The 21,904-nt window shown below is 38.9% G+C and overlaps 1 protein-coding gene across 24 annotated transcripts in view; it reads left to right on the forward strand.

The window, feature by feature from the left end:
• The window catches only part of MED12L (mediator complex subunit 12L), a 350,990-nt gene that overhangs the window by 70,454 nt on the left and 258,632 nt on the right, over positions 1-21,904 (forward strand). For 21 of the 24 annotated variants that reach the window (XM_017005676.2, NM_001393769.1, XM_017005678.2 and 18 more), the window contains 6 exons: positions 44-213; positions 2,572-2,682; positions 3,715-3,984; positions 7,776-7,925; positions 9,303-9,402; positions 9,729-9,865. In XM_017005676.2, coding sequence (XP_016861165.1) covers positions 44-213; positions 2,572-2,682; positions 3,715-3,984; positions 7,776-7,925; positions 9,303-9,402; positions 9,729-9,865 — 938 coding nt within the window. The remainder of the gene's footprint in view (positions 1-43; positions 214-2,571; positions 2,683-3,714; positions 3,985-7,775; positions 7,926-9,302; positions 9,403-9,728; positions 9,866-21,904) is intronic. The other 3 variants (XM_017005679.2, XM_047447417.1, XM_047447411.1) reach the window with 1 other exon arrangement.

The following is a 21,904-nucleotide window of genomic DNA, read 5'->3' on the forward strand; positions in this document are numbered from 1 at the left end:
CATTGTGTCTAGAAACTCATATTTTTCTTTTTTTAAAATGCAGAGTGGACACAGATATCTACCAGATATCTTCGAGAGCAGTTGGCCAAGATTTCTGACTTTTACCACATGGCCTCCAGCACGGGCGATGGCCCTGTCCCTGTGCCACCAGAGGTGGAGCAAGCCATGAAGCAATGGGAATACAACGAAAAGCTAGCATTTCACATGTTCCAGGTAACCTTTTGAAGACATGCAGAGTTGTGTGCAATGCTTTTAAGAAGACAGCAAATTCCTTATAGTTTGGTGTTCTGGGGTTAAATCCTATTTTACATGAACCAATACATTCAAAGAAAGCAGTCTGACATTTCTCACATCGAATTGTATTCAGGGTGACACATCTGCCCTGGGATGACAGCTTATTATACATATTGATCTCCAGCTTTCAATCATGTTAGCTCTTTTAGTGCTATTAATTAGTTCGTAATTGCACTATTAAATGTAATCCTTCTAAACCTTTTATTTTGCAAAATTGGATATATTTATTTAAAAACACCTTTGTGCTGATGCCTTCTGTGGTAGCAGACCTCCTTTAGACCTAAGTTGTTCCAGAGAAAGGTCATCTTAATTCAGCTGCAGCTGAAAATACAAACAGAGCTGAGGGGAGGGGTAAGGGCGTTTAGGAATGACTGAACTCTCACCCAGACAAGCTGATGTAAATAATGTTGACCAGAAGAGGGCGTTTGGGCTCTTAATTACCTTATTCATGGTAAGGTAAGAGAGATGACTTCAGTTCAAGTCTTATTATTAGCAGAGATTTTAGTGCCTGTTATCTTGATTAAAGAGGGAGGGGACATGTGGTTTCTAAATTTTCCCTTTAGAACCTTTATTATAATTTTCATGCTCCTCTTCTAAGAGGTCAACATAGGAAAAAATAAGGTCTTTTTGAGAAGTAATATTGTTAGTTTTTAAGTCAGTAAAAATAAATTCTAGTTCCATTTAGAAGAGGGACTACTTTAGTGCTGCCCTGAGCTTTTATGACTTTTACTGGGCTCAGAATTTAGTCTGCATCTTGGAAAAAGTATCTCTCAGCATGTTTAATGGTTCTGGAAGAATTACGTATTAGGAGTATTGAAATTAGAATTTTTTTTTTTTTAAGAAAGCAGTTAGGTCCTAAAGGAATGAATATAATCGAAATAGTAATGTTAAAATTTAAATGTTCATTATATTTTAATTTGCCGTATTCTGAAATGTGAAACACACCCTAATTCATACACGTGAAGACATGTATATGCAGAAACAAGGGCATGGGTATATAAACAAAGCATCTACAGGATGGACTGTTATTTATGAAGATTCTCTTTGTTTTTTTGAATCTTGAATTTACCATCTCTTATACCTTAATGGAAAATTCCATTTTGTCTCTTTTTTAAAAAAATTTTAATTAATTTTTAAATTGACAAATGAAAACTGTATATATATTTATTTAGAACTCACTTTATTGGTCTTAAAATTTTAAATTGCACTTTTTATGTGACTTTTTAACTATTTTTGACTGTAAACATTTTAAAAATTAGAAATTAGCAAGATGTCATGTCAATGTGGCCTCACTGTAAACTTTGAAATACTACAACTGTAATTTATCAGTGTAATATTTTCACATGAATCCTTGATAACCATTGCAGTGGAACACTGGTAATACATAACAGTTGCTAGGAACAAAGTAAGATTTCATATGAACTACTAAGTTTGTTACCAGAATGACCATAAAAGTATATGTCTTTCCCAGAAAACAGTTTTTTGTTTCTTTCTTTCATTCTGTGAATCATAATACAAAACTATAATAGGATATTAAATCTATATGTGCATAGAATGTCATAAAATAATGTGTTTATCTATGTGTATATGCATATGAAGGCAAGAGACAAAAGATGTTTGTAGTGCTTATATCAAGATTAGTGGTCTCTATAGGGTCTGTGTCACCCCCGTGGGGCATTTTTGGAAATTGTAGGGGGTATTACTGTTTTTTATTGTAGTTGTGTTGAAATGTTTATACATTATTTTATCATAAATTCCTTTCATTTCTGTATATTAGGTCATTGATTTTTAAGGTTGTATTTTATAGATAGGTGATAGTATCTGAAACTAATTTTGGGATAGTGGAAGAAGCTATTAAGGGGGCATTGGGTCTGATGGGATTTTCACACTTTTGTTAAGATGATGGCATGAGCAGTGCTTATCTTCTTTATAATTATCACTGTTACCCAAGTTTCCTTCTATGAGCATGAGTTCATACTCCCCCGAAATCTAGCCAGGACCCTGACACACACTGGGGGTGTGAAAGCTTCTGAAATTTTTTTTTTTCATTGTTGGAATGAATTTTTCTCAATTTGGAGCAGATTTCTAAAAAACAAAAAAAACTATACAAAACATATTAGTTATTTGTTTTGTTTAGAATTTGGACTGTGAGCAATGAGACTATGTTTAACAACAACAAAAACAGTAGTACAGTTAGACTTAAGCATAAGAATGACAGTGCCTTTTTTGTTTTTTTTCTTTAACATTATTAATGTAATTTTTCTTTGTTCATTTAAGGAAGGAATGTTAGAAAAACACGAATATTTGACATGGATCCTGGATGTTTTAGAAAAGATCAGACCAATGGATGATGATCTTCTTAAACTCTTGCTACCACTAATGCTGCAGGTATAGTACATGTCCCCTTGAGGCAGTTGGTTTTATGGGCAAGAAATGAGCCTGATAAGAATGATTAGGTAAGTGGAAGAGGAAAAGGAAAAAATATCCTGTTGAAATGGAAGGAAAAAATGTCTTTGATGCTATAACACATGAAGTGATAAAGGCTTCTAATAAGTTTTAGCCATCATTTGTGTTAACCATGTTGGTAGTTTTTATCCATGTGTCCTAATTTTTAAGTAATTTTACCCACATTGATTTCTCCTATCACTGAGCAAAGCAACCAACTTTTAAAATACTGTCTCCATATAATAACACAAATCTCTGTGAAAACAAAACAAATCATCCCTTTTGAAGATAGGGGATCTTCTACATTCTTTTGACAAGTCTTTGAGACTCTTGGGATAGGAAACTTTTTATTTTGATGATTGGTCTAAGATGTGCTTAAATTTGATGTATCTAGATGAGATTTATTTAAAAAAATTCTTACGTGATACATGTATTTGATAATTCAAGGAAGATGGAAGAATATCCAGTGAACAGCACTTCTCCCTTTCACTCTCATACCCTCCCCACAGACTATACCATAGGTTCCTGTGTCTCTCCCCTGAGATAGTCTGTACCTGCACTGTCCATTACAATAGCCACTAGCCAGATGTGGCTACTGAGCTCTTGAAATGTGACCAGTCCAAATTGATGTGTGCTCTAAGTGTAAAATGCACACCAGATTTCAGACTTAGTATGGAAAAGTGTATAATAGTAATACTTTTTATGTTGATTACCTGTTGAAATGATAACATTTGAATATATTGGGCTAAATAAAATACATTATTCTAATTTTTGCCTGTTTCTTATTTTTTTCATGGCTCCTAGAAACTTTAAAATTATACGTGTGGCTCACATTCTATTTCTATTGGACAGCACTTGCTTTATACCTTTGAAGTTTTTTTATCTTTTTTAAATGAAAAAAAGTCTGTGTTAAAATAGTTATTTAACCAAGACGCATAAGACATGACTGAAGTCTGGTGTCCTTCTACTTCTCAGTATTCAGATGAGTTTGTTCAGTCGGCCTACCTGTCTCGTCGTCTTGCCTACTTTTGTGCCCGGCGTCTTTCCTTGCTGCTGAGCGATAGCCCCAACCTCCTTGCTGCCCACTCACCCCACATGATGATAGGACCAAACAACTCGAGTATCGGGGCCCCCAGCCCTGGCCCCCCCGGCCCTGGCATGAGCCCCGTGCAGCTGGCCTTCTCAGATTTTCTTTCCTGTGCACAGCATGGTCCCCTGGTTTATGGACTTAGTTGTATGTTGCAGGTAAGTCCTTGGCCCTTGTTATTTTATGTTAAAATTCAATGTGGGAAGTGATTGAGTTGGGAATGGCATTTTCAATTCTCTAGTTGACTTTTTACAACTCTAGTTTTTTCCTCACCCAAGTAATTTATTGATTGAAATTTTATGTTTTTATTTCCCTGTGATGGATCAAGCTGAGAGAAGATTTGTCACATTCGTCTAGGAGAGTGTTATTGCAGTTGTCCTTTATTAGGGTCATTAAGCAGTTCAATTAAAAATCCTTCAGGGAACCCACAGAATAAGTCAGTTGTATTATTGTTCTTCTGGAAAGACAGCTTCTCCAGCTAGCATTTTTAATCTTTCTAAGTTCACATCTTGGGTTGGTTGCCTGTCTGTGTTTAAAGTCCAAATCGTATCGGGTTCCGTTCGTCTTCCAAGCATTGTTGCTTGTGTAGTCCTTGAACATCCAGTAACATGCTGGTTGCTGGGCTGATACTACCAGGAATATCAGGAATGAGGTACAGTCCTGCCCTAGAGGAGCTCACAGCTTAGTGTTCAGTTTGTATTTCTTGAGCTCTTAATGTGTTCTGCTGTATACTAAGGAGCTTTGAAACAGTTGACCCTCAAGACATGGTCTCCACTCTCAGAGTTTACTGTCTTTTCAGGAAAACTGGGTCATAAATGGACAGTTTCCAAATAATATGACAAGGGCTGTTGGGGAGATACACAGGGGGCCAAGGCAGTTGAAAAGGGGAACCTCTAGTCCAGCCTAAAACTCACGGAGGCTTTGTGAAAGAAATTTTTTAGTTCTTCGAATGAGTTGAGAAAGATCAAGTAAAAAGAAGTAGTAAAAGTTTCCTGGCAGGGGAAACACTATGGGAAGAGGCCCAGAGGCTGGTCAGTTATCTTTTGTGTAGGTGGGTGTTAGTGGGACATACATTATAAACTCTGTTGGGGGTCAGGGCATAGAAGATGCCCTGTGGGCCTTATGATTGAGGTGTCATCAGAGGGTTTTATGCAGCAAAGTGACACAGGTAGTTGTGTAATTGTCGTTAGATTGATTGGCCACAGTAGAGGGAAGATTGGTGGGAGTGGGGAGGTAGGAAAGGAGGCTTGCAAGGCAAAGAAATCAGTTTGGAAGCATTTCAGGGAGTTCAGCTTTGGACTATTTTGGACTGTTTGTCCTTTATTTAGAACCTCCAAATGGATATGTTCAAGAGTTGTTACATGTCCAATTCTGCAGATTTGGGCAGACAGTTGGCTACTTGTGTGGATTCGAATCCTTCAAGAACTTTGGCTGTTCAAAAACCCAAGAGGGAGTGAGGTTGCCTGAAGAATTTTGTAGTGAGAGAGAATCCGTGAACCTGAAGGACAGGAGTGCTTAAGAGTCGGGCAGAGGGGAAGTCCATGGAGGAGACCGGGAAGGTTGGCCAGACTGGAGAGAGAACAGGGGGAGAGTATTGTTGCCCAAAGATGATGAGAATAACAGTAATATTGTCATAATTATATTAGCGTATGGATAGCATTTATTATGGTCTAGGCATCGTTCTAAGTTGCAACGTATGTTATTAAGTCATTTAGTTCTTGGAACTAGCCTTTGAGATGGGAACCATTATTATTCTTATAACATCAATAATGCATAGATTACAGAGCAAGAAAGTGGCAAAGCTGGAATCCAAACCAAAGCAATCAGGATCCAGAGTCCACACTCAACCACTATGCTAAACTGGGGTCTGCAGAAAGTTTCAAAAAGGAATTAGTAGTGGGCAATGTGTAGAGTATTGGAGACATCTGGCAAGAAGATGGCTGAAGTAGTCTTTAACAATATAGTGTTCATTGGTGATCTTTTAAAGAGCTATTTAATTGAATGGTGGATAAGGAGCCAAATTAAGGAATGTCGAGGAGTGATGGAGAATAAGGAGAAATAGCACTAATTGTTGTTTTGAGAAACGTGTTTATGAAGAGAAGAGAAGAGAATGGATAATGGATAAAGATGGCAGCTGAGTGGAGAGTTAAAAATATATATATATTTTGATGGGCAGATTTGAATGTATTTTTGGGCTAAGAGCAAATAGGAGAAGGAGCAGTGTTTGATAGATCAGTGCCCTGGGTATTAGAGGGCTTTGGAATCAAGGACACAAGGAAGGGCTCTGTCAGGAGGAGTTGAGAACTCCACATTGTTACAGTCATGAGGAAGGCAGTAGGGATGTAGCCCAGTGGAAAGAGATGGATTGGTAGGTTTCAGGGACTTGACATTCTTTGTATCTGCTATCTGGTTTCCACAAAGATGTCTCCTAGACCTCAGAGTTTATTTTTTTTATTTTTATTTTTTTTAAATTGATTGATGAATTGATTGAGACAGGGTTTTGCTCTGTTGCCCATGCTGGAGGGCAGTGTGGCCTAATCTTCAGTCACTGCGGCCTGGAGCTCCTGGGCTCAAGTGATCCTCCTGCCTCAAGTAAGTGATCCTCCCCCCTCAGCCTCCTTAGTAGCTAGGACTACAGATGTGCATCACCACACCCAGCTAATTTTTAAATTTTTCTTAGAGATGGGGTTTCACTGTGTTGCCTAGGCTGGTTTCAAGCTCCTGGGCTCAAGTGATCCTTCTGCCTTGGCTTCCCAGAGCGCTGGGATTATATGTGCAAGCCACTGTGCCTGGCCAGCTTTTTGTACTTAATTTCATATTTTTGAAAAAAAATTTGCTGTTGAATGGCACAAGAGCATAATGGCTTAGATATACACTTTAAAGCTGTTACAGACCTGATTTTAAACCTCACTCTGCCACTTAGTAACGGTGACCTTGAGCCTCTGTTTCCCCGTGTCTGGTTGGGGAGTAATGATAGTTCTTACTTCATTGCCTCATAGGGTTAAGGTTATGATGACGGAAAGCTTCCAAGATAGTGTTCAGCGTAGACTAAGTGTAATTAGCTTAATTAAATGTGAGCTATAATGTTTAATCTATGTTTAGGAGGCAGGATAACATAGTGGTTCTGAGCATGTGTGCTATTAATAAAATCAAACTTGGGTTGGTTACTAATCTACGCGGCTCATAGTCCTCTTTGGTAAAGGTGGGGGATAACACTACCTAGATCATGGGGTTATTGTGACACATAAGCAAGATGGTCATATAAAGTACTTCTGGTTGAGTGAAGAGTGTCTGCAAGTGTCTAGGGCGAGGGAGATCTACAGGCTGTGGATCAAATTCGGCCCACAAGGTAAAAATAGGTTTTATGTTTTTAATGCATTATTAAAACAAAAATGAAGAATGTGTGACAAAAACTGTAGGTAGCCTGCAAAGCTTAAAACATTTACTATCAGGCTTCTTATAGAAAAAGTTTGACAACCCCTTGTCCAGGGTTACTGCCTGCCCACCATTTATGAAGCTACTATTACATGATTATTTGATTTTGTTTTTGTTTTTAAATACTTCTTTTTTTTTAGCTTTTACAGCCTTAGAAATTACATATTATAAGTTCATCTCATGTTTTTAATTGCATGAAAAATTGGTTTAAGTGACGATTTTTAAGTGATGATTACTGCATTTTTATTAAGTTCCTTCAGGTTCCTGTTGGAGTATTAGCTTATGAATTATTCCTTAATTTCTCAACAGCTGTACTTCCTCCCTTTCAACTTAATAATTTTTAGTTTTGTCTTCTCAATTGCGAAGTTGAGAATGGGGTAAGACACTCTCGTATTTTAAACTTACTAGTAGGAGACAATAATACAGTGATGACAGGGTGTCGTTTTTACTGTTTAGCTATTGTTATGCTTTTCTCCTTCCTCTGAACATCCAACTTTATCTGTTTCATTTCCAGACTGTCACTCTCTGTTGCCCAAGTGCCTTGGTGTGGAATTATTCCACAAATGAAAATAAGAGCGCAAACCCAGGCTCACCCCTGGATCTGCTGCAGGTGGCCCCGTCCAGCCTCCCCATGCCGGGTGGGAACACGGCTTTCAATCAGCAGGTAGACTTTATGTTTCAGTGATTTGATGGCTGTTTTCATTCTTGACAGGCATCAGGGCACAGTGGGTCAAGCACAGGTTTTAGTATCTAGATGCTTGGGTGCTATCCCAGTTTTGCCTGCTAACACTCTGGGTGACCTTAGAGAATTGTTTAGCCTCTTCAGAACCACTGAAATTCTCGAAGTTGCTCCCTTTCTTTTCACTGTCTTGCTGAACAGTTCTTGCTGAGAGTTCTGCCACCCAGACTGTAATTATGGTGGTGGTTCTAATACATGACCATGACTCCTGTAGTAGTTTTGATATTTGGTAATTATTATATGTTCTTATTGGTACTGGGTTATTTGTTTCAAAGCCTTATGTGACTTGAACCATAGGATTGTGATTAATATTTAGAATAAGATCCCTGTCTTGGGATCTAGAACTAGAAATACCATTTGACCCAGCCATCCCATTACTGGGTATATACCCAAAGGATTATAAATCATGCTTCTATAAAGACACATGCACACGTATGTTTATTGCAGCACTATTCGCAATAGCAAAGACTTGGAACCAACCCAAATGTCCAACAATGATTGACTGGATTAAGAAAATGTGGCACATATACACCATGGAATACTGTGCAACCATAAAAAATGATGAGTTCATGTCCTTTGTAGGGACATGGATGAAGCTGGAAACCATCATTCTCAGCAAACTATTGCAAGGACAAAAAAAAACCAAACACCGCATGTTCTCACTCATAGGTGGGAATGGAACAGTGAGAACACATGGACACAGGAAGGGGAACATCACACACCGGGGCCTGTTGTGGGGTGGGGGTAGGGGGTAGGGATGGCATTAGGAGATATACCTAATGTTAAACGATGAGTTAATGGGTGCAGCACACCAACATGGCGCATGTATACATATGTAACAAACCTGCACATTGTGCACATGTACCCTAAAACTTAAAGTATAATAAAAATAAAATAAAATCATATTCATCCATTAAAAAAAAAGAATAAGATCCCTGTCTTTTCCCAAGCAGTTTTCTTAATAGAACGTTGCAAATTGCTTTCACACATGGAAGAATGGCTCAAAGAGATTATTTTAGAACATTCACCTTTCCACGTGGTGTCCTAAAAAAGAAATTTCACTCGTAAAACAAATTTTGCAAGCATTTATTTTTGTGAACATTTATTATTGAAAACTGACATTGAATTGCCCTTTGTAAATTTTAAAAATTCACTTATTGGGCCACAGGCTGCATTTCTTACAATGCAGTCAAGATTGTAGTTCACTATAGGATACTTTACTCACGTGGAAAAACCTGACATGATTTAGACATGCGCTGTGGCATTCCAAGCACAAGTTAATTAGAAGCGATTATCTTTCAGGTTCGGGCAAGGATTTATGAAGTAGAACAACAGATAAAACAAAGAGGCCGTGCAGTGGAAGTTCGGTGGTCATTTGACAAGTGCCAAGAATCCACAGCAGGTACAGAATGCCACAGAGGAACGAGTGCTTTTGAATGTTGGACTTTATGCTGTGTTTTTGCTTCTTATAAACCATTCCACATGAATAAGGCAGCTTTTTGACAGAGCCACTTGGTGAATTTTGAGGACAATCTTCAGTTTATGCCTTTTAGATCCTGGCTGTCTAGAATGTCAAGTTTGGTTTTGTTGATGATTGTTTGATAACATATGCCAAGAATGATAATTAAAAAAAAATTCTTTTGCCTCACATAGAATGGTGATTTTGTACTGTGTTATAACTGTGTTATTTTTGGCCTCATTAACCACTTGTTTAATTTCTGCCTATAGGGGTGACTATTAGTCGGGTTTTGCACACGTTGGAAGTTTTGGATCGTCACTGTTTTGACCGAACTGATTCCAGCAATTCCATGGAGACACTTTATCATAAGATTTTCTGGGCAAACCAAAACAAAGATAACCAAGAGGTAGTTAATTTTTTTTTAATTCTTTTCACCTTTTATTTTCATAGTGTTTTTTTCTTCTTTCTCATTCAGGAAACTCTGGCGAAACCTTTTCTATGAAGTGTAGTATCTTATGAAGACATACACACTTGAAATCATTCTATTGTTGGACTAAGATTACCTACCATTATTAAAATGAAATGTCAGTGGGGCTTATCTACCTAGGAATATTGATATATTGACGGGCAAGATTTTTCTTGGCCCTTTTACCATCACTTTCCAATTTTAGTTTTAGAAGAATATCCTTCATTTAGTGATTGGACTTAATATGGTGGGTTGGCTTTAACTTGGGGGAATGTATGTTAACATTTAGCACAGCAGAGGGCAGTGCATGAATACCCGTGGTCATGATCTTTCAAAAATCCTTAGACAATGTGTTAGGGTTCTACAGAGAAATAGAACCAATAGAAAAAAAGTGTGTGTTAAGTGTATGTATATATATGTGTATGCGTACATATATGTTTATATCTACCTAGAGAGAGAAAGGGGGGGAGAAAAGAGAGGGGTATTTATTTTAAGGAATTGGCTCACATGATTATGGGGCTGGCAAATTTGAGATATTCAGGGCAGGCTGGAGACTCAAGGAAGAACTGATGTGGCGGTCTTGAGTCCATAGGCAGTCTGGAGGCAGAATTCTTTCTTCCTCTGGGGACCTCAGTCTTTTTTTTTTTTTTAAAGACAGAGTCTCACACTGTCACCTGGGCTGGAGTGCAGTGGTGCAATCTCGGCTCACTGCAACCTCTGCCTCCTGGGTTCAAGTGATTTTCCTGCCTCAGCCTCCCGAGTAGCTGGGATTACAGGCACCCACCACTATGCTCAGCTAATTTTTTGTATTTTTAGTAGAGATGGGGTTTCACCATGTTGGCCATGCTGATCTTGAATCCTGATCTCCTGATTCGCCTGCCTCAGCCTCCCAAAGTGCTGGGATTACAGGCCTGAGCCACCGCACCCGGCCGGGACCTTAGTCTTTTAAGACTTTCTATGGGCTAGATTAGGCTCACACACATTATAGAACATAATCTGCTTTACTCAAAGTCTGTTGATTTAAATCTTAATCACATCTTAAAAAAATCTTTTTAGCAACAACTAGACTGGTGTTTGACCAAACAACTGGATACAATAGCTTAGCCAAGTTAATATCTAAAATTGATAATCACAGATAATTTTTATCTCACACATATCTAGCAATAGATTGTTTCATGAATGAATTGCCCCAAAACTAGGATATTCAGTTGTTTTTTTCCTCAGCCTTATTTGGGGAGAAATAAAAAGTTTGTCTTCTTTTCACAATGAAAACTGCCGATGATAATATCCAGCCTGTGCTAGGCACTAGGACTGCAGAGTTAAGTTTTAAGACACCTTCAATACCTTAGTTAGCTGATGGCAAGCATCTTTGATATTTCAACTGGCTTTTGGGAATGCATATGTGGAAAGAAAAGATGAAACAGCAACAACAACCACCATCAAAAACCTTTCCTTCTCTTACCTTTATGTGAGCCTGATACATATTCCAGATTATTATTCTTTTTGGAATAATTTTTGATTGATCACCCTGCTTCTCAAAGATATGGTTCAAGACTAATGGTGCCAGCTAGGATCATTCAGAACGTTGAGAGCAAGGGACTGATTGAGTGTGCTTTTTAAATTCATCGCGAGTTCAGTAGCAATGCCTCCCTACTTCAGTGGAGCATGCTGATATAATCCTCTGCTTACTGAGGCAAGTTAGAGTGCTACGTGCTCTTTTTGGGTGGAAACCTTAAAGTGTGTTTTTAGTAAAGACTTTCTTAGATAAAAGACTTCATGAATACTAAGATTTTTAATACATATAGGTGAGTTATCTGGAAGGAAAGTAGGGATACCCAAAATTCAGGGGGATCTTGGATTGTTTAGCTTCTTGCACTAAGTATTGAGTAAAAGCTACATTGTTTCCTGGTGAGGGTTTTACCAAGATTATCATAACCACCTTAGTTTTGTGGTTAGCCTGACTATATACCTTCAGAGTGTATGCACTGGCTAACTTCAGGATTATTGCCCCATTCACCTGCAGACACTTAAGTTACAGCACTCTCAAGAAAAAAATAGGGGTGTTTTTTCAAAAAAATTCAAGGGCAGAAATTATGTTGCAATCTTTCTGAATGAAATCACACTGTGAGGTTCTTTGTAAATCACAGATATCTCCGGAGTGGGTGCTTGCAATGAGCCATTAGGGTGCAAGAAGGTTATTAGAACTTCTGTTCAGATTATAATTTTCAAAAGCTTCTTTTGTCTCTGGAAATGAATGTAATTATTATGATCGTATAGGTATAGAAGTTATAAATAAGTGTGTGTTGAAAGTTTTTACTAAAAAAACTCTTTGAGCTGAGAGGGTGTGTGGGAAATGTTTGGAAATCACTGCCGGAAGCTTCCCCTACCTGAGTGACTTCTCCAGGATTCAGAGAGGTGCGTGCCACCAGAGGGCGACATGTGCTCAGGACTGAGAGTCCTGGAGGCTCTAGGCACGCACATTTCTGGAAGGGCCATCAGTGTTGCCCCATTTAGCAGTAATTATTTTGAATGTTGACTCAACTTCAGAAAGACTTGATGAAAACTACGTTTTCAACCCATAATTCAGATTGGTCACCTTTTCTTAATAGTCTGGCAAAAAGGATAACAAAATAGATGGATCCTTCTGTAATACTTAACATTAAATTATTATTAGTATTTTTCCAAGACAGTCTCAGTCTGTTGCCCAGGCTAGAGTGCAGTGGTACTGTCTTGGCTCCCTGCAACCTCTGCCTCTCAGGTTCAAACAATTTTCATGCCTCAGCCTCCCCAGTAGCTGGGATTATAGGTACATACTACTGTGTCCAGCTAATTTTTCTATTTGTAGTCAGGCTGGTCTCAAACTCCTTGCCTCAAGTGATCCATCTGCCTTGGACTCTCAAAGTGCTGGGAGGTGTGAGCCAGTGTGCCTGGACTAAATTAATTTTTAAAATATGTCGTTGGTATCTGTATGTATGGTATATGCATCAAGGTATATATGTATATGTAATCAAGTTTTATCTCTCTATTTACTCCTTAACAGGGGTTACTGTTTTCTTTTTCTTTGTTTTTTTTTTTTTTTGTTTTTTTTTTTTTGAGACGGAGTCTCTGTCTGTCTCCCAGGCTGGAGTGCAGTGGCGTGATCTTGGCTCACTGCAACCTCCACTTCCTGGGTTCAAGCAATTCTCCTGCCTCAGCCTTCCAAGTAGCTGGAATTACAGGTGCCCTGCCGTCACGCCCGGTTAATATTTTTATATTTTTAGTATAGATTGGGTTTCACCATGTTGGCCAGGCTGGTCTCTAATTCTTGGCCTCAAGTGATCCACCCGCCTTGGCCTCCTAAAGTGCTGGGATTACAGGCATGAGCCACCGTGCCCAGCCCTGTTTTCTTGACTGCAGAGTCACTTTGCGTATTTCTGGAATTCATGCATGTGCTGCAGCATCATGTTAACTGATCAGCTGGTGATCTTGAGTAAGTTACTCAAGGCTTTGTGCAATAGTGCCCTTCCTGGTTAAGTAGGCATAGAGTACTTGCCCTTTTTTTCTCTAAGGAAACATGAACACTTTGAGAATTATAAGGCACTATACAAATATGTTTTAAAAATTGTTAACAATAATAATATAGCAATTATTAGTATTATACTGGAAGAACTAATGTGATGATGCTGTTCTCTGATAAGGAGTTACGTGTGGTTAGGATTCAGAAATTGGTCTCACTTCTTTAAAATATACTTCCCCTTTTTTGTTTTCATAATTCATTCAGGATTTAGATAGCACGATAGATAAAACATGATCAACTTCTGTAGTTGCAATAGGTTGGAGGTTTGCTGTTACTAGAAGTCGTGTCTAGGTAGGCCTAGGCCCCAGGTTGCATAGCCTGCTTCTTCACATCTGTTGGGAAAACCTGAATTTCACCCTCCTTGATTCCTTAATTCCCTTTTCTCTGGAACTGCGACAGGGAAATGCAGTCCTCTCTACTTCCTTGTAGGGAGGGGAGAACTTCTGTCTAAATGGGAGAAGTTTGTGTGTGTAATCAGTTTCAGTATTGGTGAAAGCCTGTTGAAAACTGCAGTGCATGGGATGAAGGCATCCGAGGCCTGGGCCCTGCCTTGTGGTTGGACTGTGGTCATGAGAGTGGGAGTAGGAGCTGATTCTGTGCCCACATTGGGGTGTGCCAGGCTATGTGGTGTGCCTTCACTGATTCCACATGGAATGCACTATTTCTTTTTTTCTTTTTCTTTTTTTTTTTTTTTTGAGATGGAGTCTTGCTCTGTCACCTAGGCTGGAGTGCAGTGGCGTGATCTTGGCTCACTGTAACCTCTGCCTCCTGAGTTCAAGCCATTCTCTGCCTCAGCCTCCCGAGTAGCTGGGATTAATAGGCGCCTGCCACCATGCCCGGCTAATTTTTCTATTTTTAGTAGAGATGGGGTTTCACCATGTTGGCCAGGCTGTTCTTGAACTCTTGACCTCGTGATCCACCCACCTCAGCCTCCCAAAGTGCTAGAATTACAGGCGTGAGCCACTGCACCTGGCCTGGAATGTGCTAATTCTTTACTCTCCCTCCCTGTTGCCCTTTACCGCCCCATTTCCTTGGCCACTGTTTCTGTGTCTGGGCTTTTGGGTATAATGGCAAGGGAGGTGAAAATAAAAATCTCAAAAACCTGAGTGTTTCCTTATTCTAGATCTGTGCTGCTTAGTTTTCCATTCAGAGTAGTGTGAGATATAAAGATGGTAATACTGAGGTCAGGGCTCATGTCCCACAGTGGCCAGGCAGGTAGTGGGAATGAGTCGGGGGATGCTATGTATAAGGCAGCCTGGAGGTGGTGGGGGTTGAGGTGTCTGGGAAGTGGGCAGACCCTGTCTGAAGAGGGAAGCCTCTCAAATTCTTAGATTCTGCTTGGGATCCACTGTTCCCTGATCATCCAACATTTCAAGAGAAGCTGGATGTCAAGATCTGCATGTAAACTTTCCTGATTTTAAAATACTGTGCAGCCAGGCAGTGTGTCTGCTGGCCATATTCACTCAGATGCTTGTCACTTTTCAATTCCTGGTACATGTCTTCTACAACATGTACTCACTTATTTGCTTGTTTAGTGTTTCAGAGCCATTTCTAGTCTGGGTGATGGAGGTGGCAAATCCTGACATCCACACAAAGGAGTCGTTATGTGGACAGTGGGACCCCTGGTTTCCACATGCTCACTGAGCCTGTCACTTGTGACCTCACCTCTGAGCAGCTGGAGGAGGAGTTGCTCTCTTTGCTTTTCAGAGGCCTCAGACCACTTCCTTCCTCTTGGCATCTCTCTGTTTGGGATGAGTGTGAGCACGGAGGCAGCTGCATCTTTAGGGTGCCTCAAGGACATGGATAGAAGGGACAGGCTAAAGGTGGCAGGAAGAGCTGCCTTTTCACTTCTCTCTTTGGGGGTCCCAGGAAGCCAGCTTTATCCTGAGTAATGAAAAGATGGAACCGGCTGCACTGGACAGAGTGTTCCTGCAGCAGCATGTGTGTTTCCTCCTTCCCTGCTGCTAAAACCACACACCCCAGACGGGGAAACTTACATATTTATTGTTTGGATTTGTTTTATGCTTAGACTATTCGTGCAGAATTCTTTGAAAGGTTGTGATGAGTTCATAGTGATGTTTTGAATGGCAAAGGCCCTAAGTTTAGAAAATGTGCTTTCCTCACCTGTGGCACAGAGTGTCCCAGGCCCAGCCAGGTTTGTATCAGTGCAGCTGGCGAACTCTGCTTCACCACCACGATCCAGAGGACAAAAGCTCGCTTTCTGTCAGTGCTGGGCTTGTTCCACATTTGTCTTCCTGCAAGCGTTTCCCTGGGGTCTATGTTTCTTCTTCTCCTCACCTTATGCACATTATCAGCCCCAAGTACCATGCATGGGGCCCAGGAGATGCTCAGTCGCATTTATTGAATTCATTTTTTAGACCTCATTAAAAAGCTACTCGGGCAGTGAACTGGAAGGGGAAGCACCCCTATAAGATTTGGCTTGGAAAGGTAGAGATGAATACAGTCATGGAATCTGTATATATCAGTCTTAGACGAATGCTTAGATTCAGATGTGGGAGAGAGTACGTGCAGGTAGAGGTAGGGGTGTGGCTGACAGGGGAGCTCTCTGCTGTGAAATCAGCAGTTTAGTGTATTTCTTTAGGGACATTGGACAATTCACGTATTTTTGATGAGTCTCAGTTTCCTCATTTTGTAAAATGGGCATGCTATTTCCTGACGATGTGAAAATGACATGAAATATTTGATTGATAAACCATTCAAATATTTATAGTTCCCAGCATGTAAATGGGTACTTAATAAACACTAGCTGCTATTATTACTGACTGATGTATATAGAGTTAGTTAAAAACTGCAGAATTGGAAGGAATATGATCAGAGACTCATAGTGGGCCCCTTGGGGCTACTGTGGGCACACACAGATACCCATCACGCAGTCTACTAATCATAAGGCACAGCCAGGATCTTTTGGGCTTTTTACATTTGCTGGTTTTCATGAAGTCTTTACTCTCTGTAGGGAGGCAGTTGGATGGCATTGATCCACTCAGGATGGGGTAGCTGCAGGACCATGTTGTAAAGGAAATCATGTTCATTTAAATGCTTAGGTTTTGTTGTTGTTTAAGGAAAAAAGTCAGTTTCTAAAACCAAGACTGCAGAAAGTCAAATAAGGCAAAAGTCAAGCAAGCAAGGAAAATGTGCATGGATGGCTTTCTGTTGAGATCCAGGTGTGCTGAATTTATGTTGTTGATGCTGATCACAGCCCAGCCAGAAGTGTATTGTGCTTCAGAAGCTAACACATTTCCTACTGGACACCCAAAGGAAGCGTTGCTAGTCTTTTACAACTAGTATTTTCTTATTTTTTGAAATAATGTGTTAGTAAAAGTTTGGTTTCTAGTAACATAGTTGGGAAAACAAAATTGTGTGTCCAGTTATTTAGACTTGCTGTCACTGAGAAGGGCCTGTCACACATTGTTTAGATTGGAGTGGGCCTCTTGATTTGTTTTTGAGTATTATGCGACTTTTTTTTTTTTTTAACTTTTTTGTGTGTGTTCTTTTTAGACAACGAGCCCTGTTTTAGTGTTATGTCATCTTATTTAGTTTTTCCCTGGCCTGTGAGATGCACGTTATTCTTTTTCTTACTTTCTCTTTTTAAAAAATCTTTTACTTTTTTGACAAGGCAACCAATGCTAGAGAGGATGAGAAATTGTTGAGGCTGATACCCAACTCATTGGTGGAAGAAAGGAATTGGAATCCTAAGTAGTTCCAATTAACAGTACAATCCAAATGGTACTCTTAACTAGTACGTTCTATTTCTTCTACTGTTTATTTAAAAAATGATTTTATTTCAGTGAACAATATAGCTGAAGTAACAAGTTTCAGATGTAATTTTGGAAAAAAGAGGAAGACACCTTTGTAATTGCCATGAACAATTTTCACCAACAATTTCCAAATATGAATATTGGTACATTTATGTGATGGAATAATCTATTAATTTTTAAAAGCTTGCTTGACAATTTTAACATAGTAAACAATATTTTAATTAGAAAATTCAAATCCTCAAGTTGAGCACGCTGGCCTTGGTAGGATACCATAGACTTTAGGCCAGTTCAGACCTGATTTTCAGTCTTCATTTTGCTCCCAAGTATTTGAGTGGCTTCAGATCTCCCTTAGTGTCAGTCTGTTTGTCTGTACAATGGCCTTACTAATAGAATCCACTTCGTGTAGTAGTACATGATAAGCACTTAGTAAATGCCAGTTGTTATGTTCTTGACTGGACAGCTTTTGGTTGTCAAGTGAGTAGAACAAAGCACCATCTTCTAGAAATTTGTAATTCCTTCTTATCTGTATGTTACTTTGATCTTCATAAAAGGCAAGCAGTAAAGTTTTTTGTACAGTGATGAATTTTGGAAATTACGCATAATATTTTAATTATAGCTTGAATATCCCTTACGTGAAATATTTGAGAGTAGAAGTGTTTAGGAGTTTAGACTTTTTTCAGATTTTGGAATATTTGCATTATATACTTACCAGTTGAGCACCCCAGTTTGAAAATCTGAAGTGTGAAATACTCCAGTGAGCATTTCCTTTGCGCATCAGGTTGGTCTTCAGAACATTTTGGATTTTGGAGCATTTCAGATTTTGGATTTTCAGATAGGGATGCTCAGTCTGTATTTTAAATATGAGAGACATGTACTTGTTAAGGACTTTTGGAGAGATTTTACTTTGAAATTATGGATCAGCCCCTGTATGACTTTCTGTTATGCAATTATGTATTTCTCACAACTCCTCTATTTTTTTCATTTGTATTACTTAAACGTTGACTGAAGATTAGAAGAATCATTTTTTGTTAAAGTGCAAATAAATGACAAACCTAAGTAAAAAATTAGTTGATTTAAATACTCAGAGAGGATTGTCTTATCTGTCTTGTTTCCTCGCAGAATTAGATCTCTTCTGTTTTTAACTACTGCTTTACAAAAAGGAAGTTGCTTTTGCTTCCATGGTATATGTTTGGTTTATCTGATGTCACAAGACCTAAAGACTATCAACATTGATTTTAAGGATGTGAAGTTAGGAAAACTTGTCCCTTTCTCAGTCAGAAATCAGCCACCTCAAATATCTTTTGGAAATGTATATATGCAAAATATTTTTTTAATTTTTTTTATTTTAATTTTTCTTGTAAGAGACAGGGTCTTGCTCTGTTGCCCAGGCTGGAGTGCGGTGGTGCGATCACAGCTGATTGCAGCCTTGAACTCCTGGGCTCATGTGATCCCCAGCCGAGTAGCTGGGACTGCAGGCACACGCCACACACCCGGCTAATTAAAGATAAGGTCTCACTATATTCCTCAGGCTGGTGGTCTTGAACTCCTGGGCTCAAGTGATCCTCCTGAGTTGCTGGGATTACAGGTGACCATGTCTGGGCCACCATGCCAGGCTTGGAAATGTTTATATGTATAAAGATTATAAAAAATGAATACCATTTATGCTTATGTAATAGATCTTGTGAATTTATGGTTAACAGTGTTAGGCCTATTATCTTATATTGGTGACTGTGACCAGGTACAGCAAGGTTATGTTCTATTAGCAGTTAAGACTAACTTTTTTACTTCTGTGACTTGCAGTTCATCCAGCTCCTCACAGTATGCCTCAGCTTGCAACCTATATGACTTGCTAATATAACTACACTACATATTATTCCATATTATTTATTGGTGCTGTAATATGAATAATATCTTCTCCAAATTTGACCATTTTGTTTGACCTTGACTAAGTGATTGATTTCATTTATAAACATGTCCTTTTAGTCTAAGATTAAAGAGCTGTTAAGAGCTTTATTCAGTATCTTACGTCCTTTTATTTTTAATTTTAAAAAACGTTTCAACTCTTTTTAGTTAGCTGTTGCTGATAGTAATAAGTCATTGATTTTTTTCCCCCACTCCTTTTTATGGTGTTATATAACCTAGGTAATATATTAACAAATTTCTTATTTGAAACTGGCAAAAGATCTCACCATGTACCTCCTAATTTCTAAAGGAAGCCTGCCTCTCAGATGTAGTTGTCAGTTATTTTACCTTCTTTATTTGTTGAGGGATAGAAGACCTGTGGTTAGCTTCTACAACTATTAGGTTATTGAATTGCTGAATACATTGAATTACTGAATTACGGAATTAGGCCTAATCTTTCAGATTTGTGCCTGCTCTTCCCTGAGAAAGAAGAATGTGGCAAATCCCCCGATGTTGAAAACCTTTCTTCACATTTGAGATACCTTTATTATAGATGAAGATAACATCATTAATTATGATTATTTGCTACATAATTAATTCTTTTACTATTTTGCCACTGTAGATATGCCCCAAGTTCATGAGACCAGATAAACAATGCTGTTATTTGAAGGACCTTATTGATTTTTGAATTTTGTGTCCATTCATTTTCTCTTGTTTGCTGTCATTGTAGAAGTTTCTTCTTGTGATTGTTATATATATAATACAGGAGTACATTCTTGATATTAAGTTTCGTTCAGCCCACAGTGTGGACCCCTGTCCCACTCCCCTGCCCAGACAGGAGGTATTGGCGTAAGAGCCCTCTCTGTGGAGGCTGATAGCTTGAGTTGGACTCAGATTTGACCTAGTAGCTTTGAGACATTTGACAGTTATTTAACCTTTAGACTTTAGTTTGCTCAACTGTAAAATGATAGGATTGTCATTAAAACATGAGAACAGGGCATACTGTATAACAAACATATATACCAGCAGTAATCACTGTTAATTTTGGTCCATATTTGGTTCACTTTCAAGAGTTATGTTGTGGCAAGAGGTCCATTACTTGCCTAGGGAAAAAATACGTTTCAAATATCTTTTGGAAATATAAGTATGGAAACTTTCATAAACATATATGAACACTTAACTATAAAGGTTGGAGGACATAAATGAAATTGCTCTATGCATAATATTCTACAGGATTTTTTTTCTTTTACTGCTTAATATTGTTCATCATTTTTTTCTTGTTTATTTTTTTCTGGTCATGGTGCTCCACTCTTTTATTACTTCTAATAAAGTTTTCCAGTTAATTATCTGGGTGGGTGGGGGTGGGGCATAATCCTTTTATGCAAACTGTAGTGACACATTGCCATATCCTTTCAGATATTTATTCCTGTCTCTTCTCATTGGTTAACACTTTCAAAATGATGCTAAGTGATAGTGTTGAGGCCAGCAGCCTGAACTTATTAAATGAGGAATGGGAATGCTTCTAGTGTGTCACACTTGGTCAACTGCGGAATTAAGTCAGTTACTTATATTAATTAAGTGCATCTGTAAACTTTCTCCCCATCTACCTTGTTTATTCCTTTGGTTTAATGTAACACAGTGTATTACTTTTACTCTTTGATTTAAAAACAGTCGAACCTACTCTACACCAGGCACCGTGGAAGGTGCTGAAAATAAAACCGTGAAAATGACAGTAAGTCTAGCATGTGTTAGAGGCAGAATAAAGGGGATTGTGCTCTAGGTGATATCATATGAGCATCTGGAAACAGAATAAAGTCTTTGGTAATTCACTCCTGTGGTTTTATTTTCTGTGTATCAATTAGATTAGAAGTCCAGCTTGTCCCTAGAGAGGCAGAAGTCAGGGCTGGAACAGAGGGTGGCAATGGCTGGCCGGAGTGGTGCTGGGCAGCAGGGATCCTGGGCCTTGTGAGCCACTCAGGAGACTTACATGTAACGGTGATCCTCCTTTTATAAGTAATCTTGATTTACCCGTGATGTGAGCAGCAGCATGGTATAGCAGAATGTATGGGGGCTTTGGAATTAGGACAGCCTAGTGCTGTTTTCTAGTTCTGTGCCCATGACCATCTTAACTTCTTTGAACCTCAGTTTTCTTATCTTTGAAATGGGAATAGCAATACCTGCTTTCAAGTTTATTAAGATTAGAGATGATGTGTGTAAAATTTCCAGTACTTGCTCAATAATTTTTGTTTTTGAGACAGGGTCTCACTGTCGCCTACAATCATATCTCACTGTAGACTTGAACTTCTAGGCTCAAGCTCTCTTCCCATCTCAGCCTCCTGAGTAGCTGGGACTACAGATGTACACTACCATGCCTGGCTTTTTTTTTTTTATTATTTATTTTAAATGGGGTGTCACTACATTGCCCAGGCTGATCTTGAACTCCTGGCCTCAAGCCATTGTTCCTGCTCGGCTTCCCAAAGTGTTGGGATTACAGGCATAAGCCACTGCACCTGGCCAATAAATATTTTTTAATTACTGCTAACTACCTGTAGTTGGAAATTTAAAACTGTTAATACTATTATTGCCATGATTATGTGTTTTAATTTATGCCAGGGCTGGGCCTATAGTTTGTTATTTTTTCTTTGACCTTAACTTTATATGCCAGGGTTCAATTATTCCCTCCCCTCAAGCCTACCTCTTGTTCTTATGTATCTCATTCACCTGTTATTTAAAGCTAGGGAGGCA

The sequence above is a fragment of the Homo sapiens genome, chromosome 3 (assembly GCF_000001405.40).
Source record: "Homo sapiens chromosome 3, GRCh38.p14 Primary Assembly".
In the NCBI taxonomy this organism is placed as follows: domain Eukaryota; kingdom Metazoa; phylum Chordata; class Mammalia; order Primates; family Hominidae; genus Homo; species Homo sapiens.